Below are 12,380 nucleotides of genomic sequence, written 5' to 3'. Positions count from 1 at the left end.
TAATCAGGACCTTTCACTAATTGACAAAAACCAGCCTCATTTCTACCTCTTTTTCTCTTATTTAAGCTCTGGCAACATCAAACTGTTTGTAGTCCCATGCCCTTCTTGCATCACTACCTTCTCATGCTGTCATCTCTGGAAATTCCAGAGCACTTAGTTGCTCACTTAATTTCTTCTCATTAAGGCTCAGCTCAGGTTTCATTTCTAGAAGACATACCCGACCCATTCCTCCTCATGACTCTCTCCTGACCCCAAGTATTGGGTTCATTTATTCAAACATTCATTAATTTAAATATGTATTGAGCACCTGCTATTGAGCAGGCACTGTTCTAAGTGCTTGTGATATATCAGTGAACAAAACGGAAGAGCCCTGTCCTTGTGAATTCATATATTCTAGTAAAATAAATGGACAGCAAATAAAAGTAAATTATGTAGGATATTCGAAAGTTTAGAGTGCCACAGGAAAAATGATGTAGAACAGAGTGAGGAGGGTCAGGAGTTGGGCTAGTAGGGGCTGGGAGACAACAATATTAAATACCATGTAGCTCTCATTTGAGACGGTGACATTTTGAACAATAGCTCGCAGGAGGTGTGATGTAGACACCTGAGGAAAGAACAGTATTCCAGGCAGAGGCACAAGCTAGGGAAAAGGCCAGGATGTGGATGTATGCCTAGTTTGTGCAAGGTCAGAGAGGTCATGAGGAACAGGCCATGTAAGGACTTTGGCCTTCGCTGTGTGAGATGAGGGGATGTTGGAGGGTTTTTAGTAGAGCAGCAACATGATCTAGTTTATGTTTTGACAGGGTGCTATATTGAGACCAGACTATAGATGCATGCAGGTTAACCAGTTAGAAAGCTATTGGAGTAGCCAGGTGAAGGATGATAGTGGCTGGAATTGATGGTGTTGACTGTTGGGAAGGTGAAACATGATTAGGTTTTGGATGAATTTTGAAGTTTGCAACAACAGGACTGCTTAATGGTATGGATGTGAGGTGTGAGAGACAATGAAGAGTCAGGGAGGACTTGTATCATCCCAGTCATTCTCCCTAATCTTGTGCATGTAACTGGTCATCTAGTCTTGTCAGTCTGCCATGTAATTATGAGTTTTATTTTGCTACTGTTTCTCAACTGCACTGCTGCAGTGGGACTGACTAATGGGCATTCCTGGCTTCAATCAATTCTTTCTATGGGAGTAAAGAGCATTCTAAAATCCACATCTGCTTATATCATTCTCAAGGTTAAATCTTGCATGTTTCCATCCACCTACAAATAAAATTCTGAAGTCCTTAGCATGGCATACAGTATCCTTAAACTGCCTTTGCTTACTCTGAGCAGCTATCCTTCACTTCTTCCACATGCCTTTCATCATATATAATTTTTGACTTCCCTAAAAGGTTGATCCTTCATGCCTTCTTGGGAGGGTATGTGCTGTTCCTTCTGTCTGAGATGCCCTTTCCGTCTTGTCTGTTCGTGGATTACAAGGCTCAATGTGGGTGTCCATTTGTTTGTGAGAAGCTTCTCTGACCTTAGTATCTCACTTAGTCTGTTGCTTTTCTTCTTTTTCCTATAGACCTCATGTACAGTTAGGACACTTCTTATCCCACTGATGTGTAGCTGTTTGTGGTCGGTCTTCCCTTAAGGGGAGCAGCAGTGGTTTCATTTTACCATTACTTAGCAGAGGCGCAATAGATGCATGATTGACTTTTGGGCGGTTGGGACACTAAGGCAGAAATGGGTAGAAATAAATTGGAGAGACGGACTTTATATTATGCCATGTAAGAAAAAAACAGAAAAAGAGTTTGGCGGCCAAAAAGGGTAAATGCATTTAGTAGGAAAGAGTTAAGGTATAGGTGTGGGTTTTATGGAAGTCTTGAGGACCATAGGAATGGGGAGAGTAGCGGGAGATGAAGGTTGTTTGGGGCCAGATGGTGGAGGTGCTTCCATACTCTGTTTTTCATCTTTATTCTGGAACAGTGAGGAACTAATCAAATTTTTTAAATAAAAATCTGAAACAGACTGTTGTTCTTTTGGTTAAATTGGACTTTGCCCCTACCATGTTGTTTCATTGCATTGTAGCATTTACAAAAGGGAATCTGTAACAGTCAACAGTGCTTCTGGATTCTTGCAGGGAGGGTAGGGACCATGGGGAGGAGTAAGAAGTTTCCCCTTACAAAATCTTGACTTAATTTGTCATGGGGAAAAAAAAAAAATTCAAACAAAACTCTTGAGAGTGCAGCCATCCAAAGAAGAAGAAAAGCTGCTGTCTGTTGAACTAAAAGAGATGCTGGGCTTCCCTTAGGCTGAGGCTGGCCGCCCTGAGCATCTGGACGATTCGGCCCACAATTGGGACCCCTGTATTTACCTGAAGTCAGTTCGGATTGAATGAAGCAGGAACTTCCTGCTTGTACTGAGCTCAAGGTCGTGGCTCACCCAGTGGGCACTCCTGGTTCCTGTCTCTAGTCAGGGCGAGCAGACGCCTGTGGAGATGGCACAGAGGTGACCCGGTGCAAGGAGTGGCAGGGCCCATGTTTAGAGAGTTTCCTGGGTTTCTCTTGTTTTGTGTATTTTCTATTGTGTCCTCTAGCTGCTGGACTCGGGTCTCGGGCCCTCCCCAGCTGTAGGAAGTTTCCCGTCCGTCCTAGGAAGCCCAGGCCGGAAGCGGGCGGATGGCGTTTCTAGGGTGGGCATGATGTCATCAGAAGTGCCTGTGCCCACCCGTCATGTGCCACCTTCGCTGTGGCTGCTGATTGCATGAGGGCTGCTCTAGTCCAGTCTTGAAGTGGATGGTGGCTGGGAGGCAGGGACTCATAGCAGGCGGCCCACGTGTGGGGAGCTCCAAGAGTGAGGGGACCTGGGGTGAACGAGTGCCTCAGGTGGACTCCAGAACCATGGGTGTAAAGCCCATTGGCAGCTCCTTGGCTTGGCACCCAGAGATGGGGGTCGCCTGTGCCCTTGGGGGTGTGGGGCCTTTATAGCCCATTCAGTAGCTTCGTGGTCCCAGTTTCCTGCTGTGCTGAAGCCCTAGAAGACTTCCCAGAGTTTCTTGAGCATGGAGTGTTGCGTGCTGCCCTGGAAGGTCTTGGAATGCCAGCCGGGCATGGGCTGGTCATGGACTTTTGGGCCCAAGGATCACTCCACGTCCCCCAGGAGAGTACTTCTGAGAGTAGAGTAGGTGAAGAAAGATTGATCAGGAGACCTGAAACCAGAAAGGCAAGTTGAGGGAGAAGGCTGTACGCTGGCATGGGGCTGTTCAGTTAGAGCACCTTTTGGCTGCAAGTAAGAGAAACCTGCTTCAGATTACTTAAACAATAGGGAAAACTGGCGTCATAAAACATGAGCCTTTTAGGAAGGGCAACTCCAGGATTGATGGATTCAGTTACTCACACCCTTTGGATCTGCTTCTTTACCCTTCCCACTTTGCTAATGGACTTTGTTTTGATGGTGGCAAGATCAGCTCTTTGGCTGTAGGCCTGGTATGCACATTGGAAGAAGAGTGGACTTTTCTGTGTGAGAGCTAAACTAATGACTTTCAGGGAAGGAGAGCATTACCATGACTGATGTAGCAAATTGGGATTTATTCTGAGCTGGAGATGGTGAGCTTCCCTGAGAGGGGAAAATGATGGCTAACTGTCTGAACAAAGGTAATAGCAGTGGGAATGAAGAAGGTTTAAAGGAGGCAGAAACACTGTGAAGGTACTGTTGACAGAAATCAGTGATTTGCATTTAGGGACTGAAGAAGAGGGTGGATTGGAGGATGACTGGGATATTTAGTTTAGATGATTTAAGAGGAGGATGATTTCACTTAAAGAGATGGGATATGAAAGAGGGAGGTGAAGGAGGAGAAGAGGGAGAAGATTCAAGTAGGTTAAAGTGTAGCCATGCTGAGAATTATCTGTTAGTTATTTGATTTTTTTGTTTTGTTTTTGTTTAGAAGCTAATGGTATAGATATAGAAGTCATCCACAGAGATGTTACAGTTGAAGAGATGGGGGTAGAGAAGACTTTGAAGGAAAAGAATGTAGAATGAGGATAGAAGAGAGGAAATCCCAACATTTAACAGGTGAGTAGAGGACACGAAGCCAGCAAAAGAAATTTAGAAGGGACATTCAGATAGACAGGAAGCAAACTAGTACTCTATAGCTCTGTTTTGATCTGCCAATTCATTAAAATTATCAATTGATGAGAACTTTGTTTTGTTCACACCTTGACTCTTTTTGGTGCCAACCTTCAGTCAAGCCCCCTACAGTATCATTGACAGGGTTTCATTGCACCGAAAAGTTTACAGTGTTTCATACTGGATGGGTTAGTTTTAATGGCTTTTGAGGATTTCTGTGGTGTTCTAGTTGGGTGATTTTTCCCTTTATTTTTCATAGGGTGGGTTACATATTTGCTTTAGGCAAATTTATTATTGGCTAAATGACCTGCTTTACCATGTTATGTAGGAGAAATTTCCAAGAAACTAACGGATTAGTTAACAATATCTGATACTACTGAGACCAAGGGAGATGAAGACTGAGATAATGATATTTAGCAATTTGGAAAGTTGGTTTAACCAAAAAATGATTTTAACCAAAGAATGATATCCAGTCTCCAGTAACAATATCTGATACTACTGAGACCAAGGGAGATGAAGACTGAGATAATGATATTTAGCAATTTGGAAAGTTGGTTTAACCAAAAAATGATTTTAGTGCAGTTATGGGGAATGAAATCATTGGGTGATTATTAACACATGAATTAGAATTAAGGACATTAAAATAAGCACTGGACTACTCTTTTGACTTTGATGGTGAAAGAAAAATAGAAGGTGTGATGGGTTTACCAGGTGTGAAGGATGTTTTGTTGTTGTTGATCATGTTTCAGGATTGGTGGAAGTGTTAGTGTCTTAGAAATCTTTACATTAAAAGGGGCAAGGAGAGTTTGAAGACATGAGACATAAAGGGGAAATAACTGAGTGAGCAAGGAAAAGAAGGAATCAAGAACCAAAAAAGAGAGCCAGCTGAGTTAGGAGAGAAGCTAGAAAGTGGGTAGAGGTTCAGAGAAACATTGGAGGGGAAAAATAAAGGATCCTCTGAGTAACAAAAGGCTAGGTCACGTGTCAGGGTGATCATGCTGTGTCCGGATGCTTAGTAGTAATGGAACAGTCTTGGTCTGGCTGCTGTGGGATCAGTATAGGGAGCCATCTAAGAGGCAGAAAAGAATTGACATGACTGCATTTTTCTCTAACCAGTTAGAAATGCAGGTCACAAAACTCGAATGATTGGGTTTACCTAGTGTGGGGTGGGACTAAGCAAAGAATTCTGTGGTGCTTGCTGAGGTGTTATTGCAGTAATCGGCAGTGGTCTTTAAACTCAATAATGAGGTGAGGCAAAGTTAATTCAAATGGGAGAGAAACTAGATGAACAGTGACCACAGTGTACAGTTGAGGGCAAATACCTGACTCAAAAGTTATGAAAGGAAGAATGAGGTGTAAGGATAGGATGGTGTCATCAGAGAGGGGAATTTTGTCACAGGAGGGAGTAAATAATTTTTCTACTTATTCATGGTTTATAATGGCATGACCTCTAACCCACATAGAGGAGTAGCAGGGAGCAAATGAATCATATCCTGTTTTAACAGGTAAGCTTGAGGGAATAATAAACAGTTATAATGTAATATCAGAAATCTATTGTTTTATTAGCTGTATGACCAGTATGACAGTTTATGAGGTGTATTAGTTTGAGATAGTTGTAAATCATGGTATAAATGCACTCTCACTTTTAACAAAGAGCTTTTTAATGTACAGTCTGAGCCGAGACTAGTAAGTAAAACTCTTATTTTTGTTATTCAGAATGTACGTGTTGATTACATCGACAAGATTAGTTTTCAAGTAGCAAGTGTGATGTTTCTCTGAATATTTTAAAGTTGTTTTAAAATGATTTTTAAGTCAAGGATAGGTTTTTTGAAAATTAATTTTGAGGTGAAATAGTTTTTATGAGACAGTTTCTGTCTTTAGCAAATTCTCTTTGAATCCCTCAATCCTGGCTCCAGTGGTGTGACTGAGCTCCACTCACCTGAGTGGGTGGAACTCTGTCCCCTGCGTTGGTTAGAGGTGCAAATATTGGTCAACATTTGAAAGCAGTTAACCTATTCCCAATCCCCAAGCACCATTTTTAGTAGAGCTAATATAAGAGGCACACGTACATTTTCTAACAAATTGCTTTTTTTTTTTTTAAAGAATGTAATGGAGTCACTGTTCTGGACTACAACTTTGACATTTATTTGCATAAGTAGGAGTGGAAGTGGTTCTCATATACAGCTAGAACACCCCTTTAAAAGACTCACTTTCTCTTAAGTTTGAGTTTGAAGGCAGAGGCTTTTATTATTATTAATGCCATATGTTGAACAGTTTGTTTTGTTAATAAGTTGCTAAAACCTGCTTCGCTCCTAACTTTAACCTACACTCTCACAATTACAAACACCTTCCTTCCTCCAGGGTTCACACAGTAATGGCCGAAGTGCCAGGCACTATAAGCTGATAAGATAAGAAGCACATGGTGCATTGTCATAAGCCAGGGGTCCCTACTGGGCCGGCTGACGCACACAGTCTTCCCCTGATGTCAGAGGGCCGAGAAGTAGCACCTTGGCTCTTTTCCCAAATTTTGTGCCAGAGCAGGGGAAAAGACTCTTTGTTTGAAAAAGCAGCTATTGAGGTATTTTTTTTTTATTGCTTTTCTTGACTGTAGGCCAGATTCCTGTCTGTTTAAATGGTTTGGTATTATTTCTGAATTGTTTGGCAGAAATAATGTTTGCTAGCAAAGATACATTCAATTCATTACACATAATGTTTTATGATCAGTTCGTTGCCACTTATAAGGCTTTGAATTTGTCATTTTTTGGTGAAAAAGTAAGTGTGGCAAATTTGATGAAAGGCATAGTTCAATATGTCTCATATAAGCTCTTAAACTCTGTCACCAGTATTTGGACAATGAACCCTGTCTTAGTAAATCTATGAGGAGGGGGAAAGCTAAATGTAGACTAGGGTCATTTCAGTAACATTTAATGCCTAACAAGCTGTTTATCTCAATTACTTATTGGCATTTATACTGAAATATGAAAAATGTTAGATTCATGAGATGGAACTGTTCAAGACTAGTAGTAATCTACTAATGCATAGGCCAAACGCACTCTCTACTGATTAAAAAAAAAAAAAAAACCCAGACATCAGAACATGCTCTACGGCCAAATTGTCATCATAGTGAAAAGTCTGCGCAGTACATTATTCTATAAAATGTCGTTTAACTATTTTAATGGCTCCTTATGAAGTCCTAAAGAATGAAGATAATTACAAACCTGTAATTTTATGGCTGCCTTGTTGAAAAGGGCAGACCAAGGTGCCTATATCAGGATGAAAGACCTGAAAATCTAAATAGCCTAGCATATTATATATAAAACTTTTAGTCATTAATTATGAGATTAGCTCAGATTAGTGAAATATAGCAAGTTTTGCATTGTCATCTAAACTTGAAATTTTAACGTGAACGCTAGTTGAACAAAGTTGGCAGTGAGAATTGTGAATTACAATTAGCACTCTACAGAATGGTGAGACATACTGGAAGTAAAGCTGAGGATGACTGCTTTTTGGTTTGTTTGTTTGAGACAGGGTCTCATTCTGTCGCCCACGCTGGAGTGCAGTGGCACGATCGTGGCTCACTGCAGCTTCAACCTCCCTGAGCTCAGGTGATCCTCCCACCTCAGCCTCCGGGGTTTCACCATGTTGCTCAGGCTGGTCTCAAACTCCTAAGGCTCAAACAGGCCTCCAGCCTTGGCTTCCCAAAGTGCTGGGATTATAGGAGTGAGCCACGGCACCCAGCCGAGTGACTATTTAATGTTTACATTTTTGTCACCAAGGAAGCAAAAGAGTTTTAGCAATTTAGAAATGCCACTGAATTGTTAAAATGACATTTTGGATTAAGGTATTTTACAGAAACCACTTTATAACAATGTCATATTGTATCTTTTGATGAATGTTTTGTTGACTGGGTATAAACTAATTTTTTTATACTTAGGTGGTAATAAGAGCTGATATTTTCTGAGTTTTTTAAAGCAACTTTCATATATGAAGTGTAGAGATTATTATTATCTCCATTTTTCAAATGAGGAAATTGAGGCATAGAAATGTTAAGTGATGTATTTCAGTAATTCTGTAAGTGGTAGAGCTAAGAGTACCTTGGTAGTCGTCTTCGATAATTAGAATTTTATGTTTTAAATTAAATGCTGCCGTAGAGACCAGAATAATAATTCCACATTTCTTCAAGCACTAAACTTGCTCTCATGAAATGATTAAGTATTAGGGAAGGAAATCAGAGTTTTAGAGGTAATAGGTTACATACATGAAACTTTCAAGAAAGCGGAAGTGCCATATTTAAATCTTTCTCTGATGTAAAGATAAGCGGACACAATTCTTCTGTGCTTCACTGCTCTGTGCAGTAAGTTCATGTTAGTAGGGTGCACAGCTTAGATGCCTGTGTTTCTACTCATAGCATTTCTTAGTCACTAGGGACAATTTGGCTCCTAAATATTAAGAAAGAATTAGCAGCTGTTACAGTGGAGGGACAAGATGTTTGACAGCAGCATAGCAAGTTGGGGGCTGTGTAATGAATGATCTGAAGTGGAACAGCTATAGTGTCAGCAAGTGAATAGAAACTTTTGAAGTATTTGCAGCACAGCTTCAAACAGTGTAGCGTGACTGTGGATTATGAGAAAATAAATACAGGCAGGTCAACTGGTACTAAACACTTAAGAATGGGGATTTCTTTTTAAAAGCAAACTCAGTTTGCCTAAGAGGTGAAGTGTAATGCTTCCAAAGGGTATCACAATGTGTGAAAGTGGCTGAGGTCACAAATGAGAGAACTATCTCTTCAAGAACAAAATGTGAAGAAAACTGTCTTAGGAACTCTGGCCTGTCTCACTCAGATAACATTATCCATAGCAGTGATACTGACTACTCAGATAACATTTTCCATAGCAGTGATACTGACTCTCAAGCATAGGAATGTTTAGAGTATCTCATTGATGATGCCTAAGTGGTGTGTAATTTCTTGTTCCAGTCTATTGGCAGGACTTGAATTCCTAGGTTTCCCAACAGAATTTCATGGTGTTTGCTTCTCCAGTATTTTCATATTTATCAGCAAAGATGTAGTAAAATAAATAATGAAATCAATTTTTTGCAAGGTAAGCAAGGCAGAGGACAGATGTGGTTCCCAAAGACTCAGGTTGCTGTTCTGCTAGCAAACAGCTGGCGGATTCAGTGTCATATAAGTGTCGTAGATGGGATCAAAATAATGAAATTACTAGAAGTAATGAAAGCACTTCAGTAAGATAATGGTTTTATCCATCTGTTCATGTGATTCTGAAACATTTGTTTAGTGCTTAGTGTGTGAAAGTACAGTTGATTCTCATTATTTTTGAATTTTGTATTTGCTCATTTGCTTACTCACTAAAATTGATTTGTAACCCCAATCCTCACAGTGTTTTCACTGTCATTTGTGGACATGTGCATGTACAGAGTAGGGTTATGTATTGATTGGTTGATGAAAATGTCACCAAAGGCTTGTAGGAACCTAACCTTGTATTTCCAATAGGAGCAAGCATTGGTCAAGTATTTGCTGATTCAGTGTTTGGACTTTATAGAACATAATGCTACTAATAATAATCGACTGTAATTACTAGCACTGAGGATAAGATGATTAAGACGTAGTTTCTACTTCAAAGACCAGAGAAAGACTTTACATCAATGCTTAAGAAAGTGATGTATGTCTTATATAGCATTGATTTTCTGACAGACCCTTTTGTGTTGAGATGCCAGCTTATCATTAAAGAAAATCGAGTTATTTCCTCTTTTAAAATTAAGTAGTGTTTGAGAAGATTGGTTTTGATTTTGAAAATGTACAGCTTAAAAGAAATACGCTGTTTTCTTGATATTAACAAAGCAAAATCATGTAAATTGTAAAATTCAAGTGTGTATGTTTTGAAAGTATATGTGAAAATATCACTGTCGGCCTGGTATTAATTCTTACTCAAGGACTGTCCATTTATTATAATTGTTTCTCCTAGTGGCTTGAGCTAAATTTAAGCATTAGGAACATGGTAATGCTACATTTGCTTGTTTTAGATATCAGATCAGATTGATGGTTTTTGTTTTTGTATGCTTATTATTTTTGACACAATATTTGTCCAGTTATTAAAAGATTCATTCTGCCTTTTAAACAATTTGAAGTATACTTTTTTTCAGAAAGGAGAGCATTAGTTTGCTAGGGCTGCCATTAGGGTACTAGTCATATTGGATTAAGGTCTCACCCTATGGACCTCATTTTACTTAATCATCTTCTTAAAGGTCCCTTCTCCACACAGAGTCACATTCTGAGGTACTGGGGGTTAGGACTTCAACACATGAATTTTGGAGGAACACAATTTAGTCCATAACAGAGAAGAATGTACATTGTAGTTTGTGTCCTAACTTTTCTTGGCTCTCCATTGGTTAAAACAGGTAATTTTTGTGTAGTTTACATTGGAAAGTTTTTCCTGCTTAATTTTTTCCTCTCCAGAAAACAAACACTTTTGGCACTTTCAATTTTTTTCTTTTTCTCTTAACAGCAAAGAACATATGTGGGTTTATGCAGCTTTATGCAGTTCTGCATTTCCTTCAACATTTATTGATAGTGCCTACACAGGGAACAGTAAACCGGAATGAGAGTAGGGAGTAACATTTCCTGTGAAGCATTCTTCCTTGGTTAAAAAACAAATTTTTGAAGTAGATTTAAGAGGAGGGTATGAGTTTAACAAGACAAGAGGAACATTTCCTATAAAGAGACATGAAACAAGCAGTTTGAACGGAGGGAAGACTGTCACAGGCTGTGAAGGTAAACAGAGATAGTTATATTATACTACAAATTTGAACATAAGAATTTTGGGAAGACACAAACATTCAGACCCACAGCAGTCACTTAAACAATGGTGATATCAAGGTTAATTTTTAAGCACATTGGAAAGGTTGGAATATGTTCTTTGAATATTGACACAGTCTTACAACACTCGTGCAAAAGAAGAAAGAATAATAAATTCATTTCTTCATGTGGAACCCAGGACAAATGATGGCAGTTACATGGGCTGTTTCCACTGTGCTTTTAATAGTCTCAATTAGGGACAATTTAGATTATGTCCTTGAGTAAGGAGAAAAAAAGGCCCCTACAACAATGCTGTTCAACAGAAATATAACGTGAAGTAAAGATGACACACATAAGTTAAAGTATTCTAGTAGCCACTTTAAAAAAGTAAGTGAAATTAACTTAATAATAAAATGGACTTAATTTATTCCAGAATATTAGAATTTTAGCTTCTGATTATTAAAGAATTATTTGATGAAATATTTTACATTCTTACATTTGTACTGTTGTCTGTGAAATCCAGTATGTACTTTACACTCACAGCACATCCCACTTCAGAGTAGCAAGTTTTCTAGTCTCCAGTAGCTACTTGTCACTAACGGCTATTCTGTTGAACAAGTGTAGCTGTATAAACTTTGTGATTTTCCAGAATAGTGTCTTTTTAATTTTCTCACCAATAACATTTTCAACAGCAAAACTAGCATAAATTTCTCTTTCCTTCTTCACAAATTCTTGGATAGATTTATTCTGACAGCAGATCTTAGCAAGCTCAGCATACCTTTGTTTTTTCTTTCCTTATTAAATCAAGAACTTGCACCCTTTAACTTAAAGGAACTACTTTATGGCTTCTCTGTGGCATATCTGAATTGCCAGCATCACTATTCTTGCACTTTTGGGTTGTTATTAAGTAAAATAAGGGTGACTTGAACACAGACACTGGGATACCATGACAGTTGATCTGATAAGCAAGATGGCTACAAAGTGTCTGAGGGATGGGAAGTGTCTACAGCATGGAGACGCTGGACAAAGGGAGAATTCATGTCCTGGTTGGGACTGAGCTGTACCATGTGAGATTTTATCATGCTACTCAGAGCAGTGCACAATTTAGAATTATGAGTTGTTTACTTCTGGAATTTTCCATTTAATATTTTTGACTGTGGTTGACTGTGTGATTAACTGAAACTGCAGAAAGTGAAACCGTGGATAAGGAGGGTGGGTATACTATACTTAGTTCTTTAAAAAAATGCTGGCCGGATGCGGTGGCTCACGCCTGTAATCCCAGCACTTTGGGAGGCCGAGGCGGGCGGATCATGAGGTCAGCAGATCTAGACCATCGTGTCTAACATGGTGAAACCCCGTCTCTACTAAAAATACAAAAAAATTAGCCAGGCGTGGTGGCGGGCGCTTGTAGTCCCAGCTACTCGGGAGGCTGAGGCAGGAGAATGGCGTGAACCCA

At 39.6% G+C, this 12,380-nt stretch overlaps 1 protein-coding gene across 12 annotated transcripts in view, besides 1 other annotated feature; it reads left to right on the top strand.

The window, feature by feature from the left end:
• The window catches only part of PDE10A (phosphodiesterase 10A), a 660,764-nt gene that overhangs the window by 407,582 nt on the left and 240,802 nt on the right, over positions 1-12,380 (top strand). For 5 of the 12 annotated variants that reach the window (NM_006661.4, XM_047418099.1, XM_047418098.1 and 2 more), the window contains exon 2: positions 3,932-4,059. The exons of the other annotated variants lie outside the window; for them this stretch is intronic. In NM_006661.4, the coding sequence (NP_006652.1) occupies positions 4,023-4,059 (37 nt within the window). In that variant the 5' untranslated portion in view covers positions 3,932-4,022. The remainder of the gene's footprint in view (positions 1-3,931; positions 4,060-12,380) is intronic. 12 annotated transcript variants of the gene reach the window in all.
• Positions 4,999-6,198: an enhancer, noted in NCBI's record as "P300/CBP strongly-dependent group 1 enhancer chr6:165987761-165988960 (GRCh37/hg19 assembly coordinates)". NCBI's record gives its function as "activates an origin of replication core promoter dependent on BRD2, BRD4, P300/CBP, MED14 and CDK7 cofactors, with strong dependence on P300/CBP, by STARR-seq in HCT116 cells {active_cell/tissue: HCT116}" and the evidence as "EXISTENCE:reporter gene assay evidence [ECO:0000049][PMID:35650434]".

Source organism: Homo sapiens, chromosome 6 (genome assembly GCF_000001405.40).
Source record: "Homo sapiens chromosome 6, GRCh38.p14 Primary Assembly".
Taxonomy (NCBI): domain Eukaryota; kingdom Metazoa; phylum Chordata; class Mammalia; order Primates; family Hominidae; genus Homo; species Homo sapiens.
This window is presented reverse-complemented; position numbering and strand designations above follow the sequence as displayed.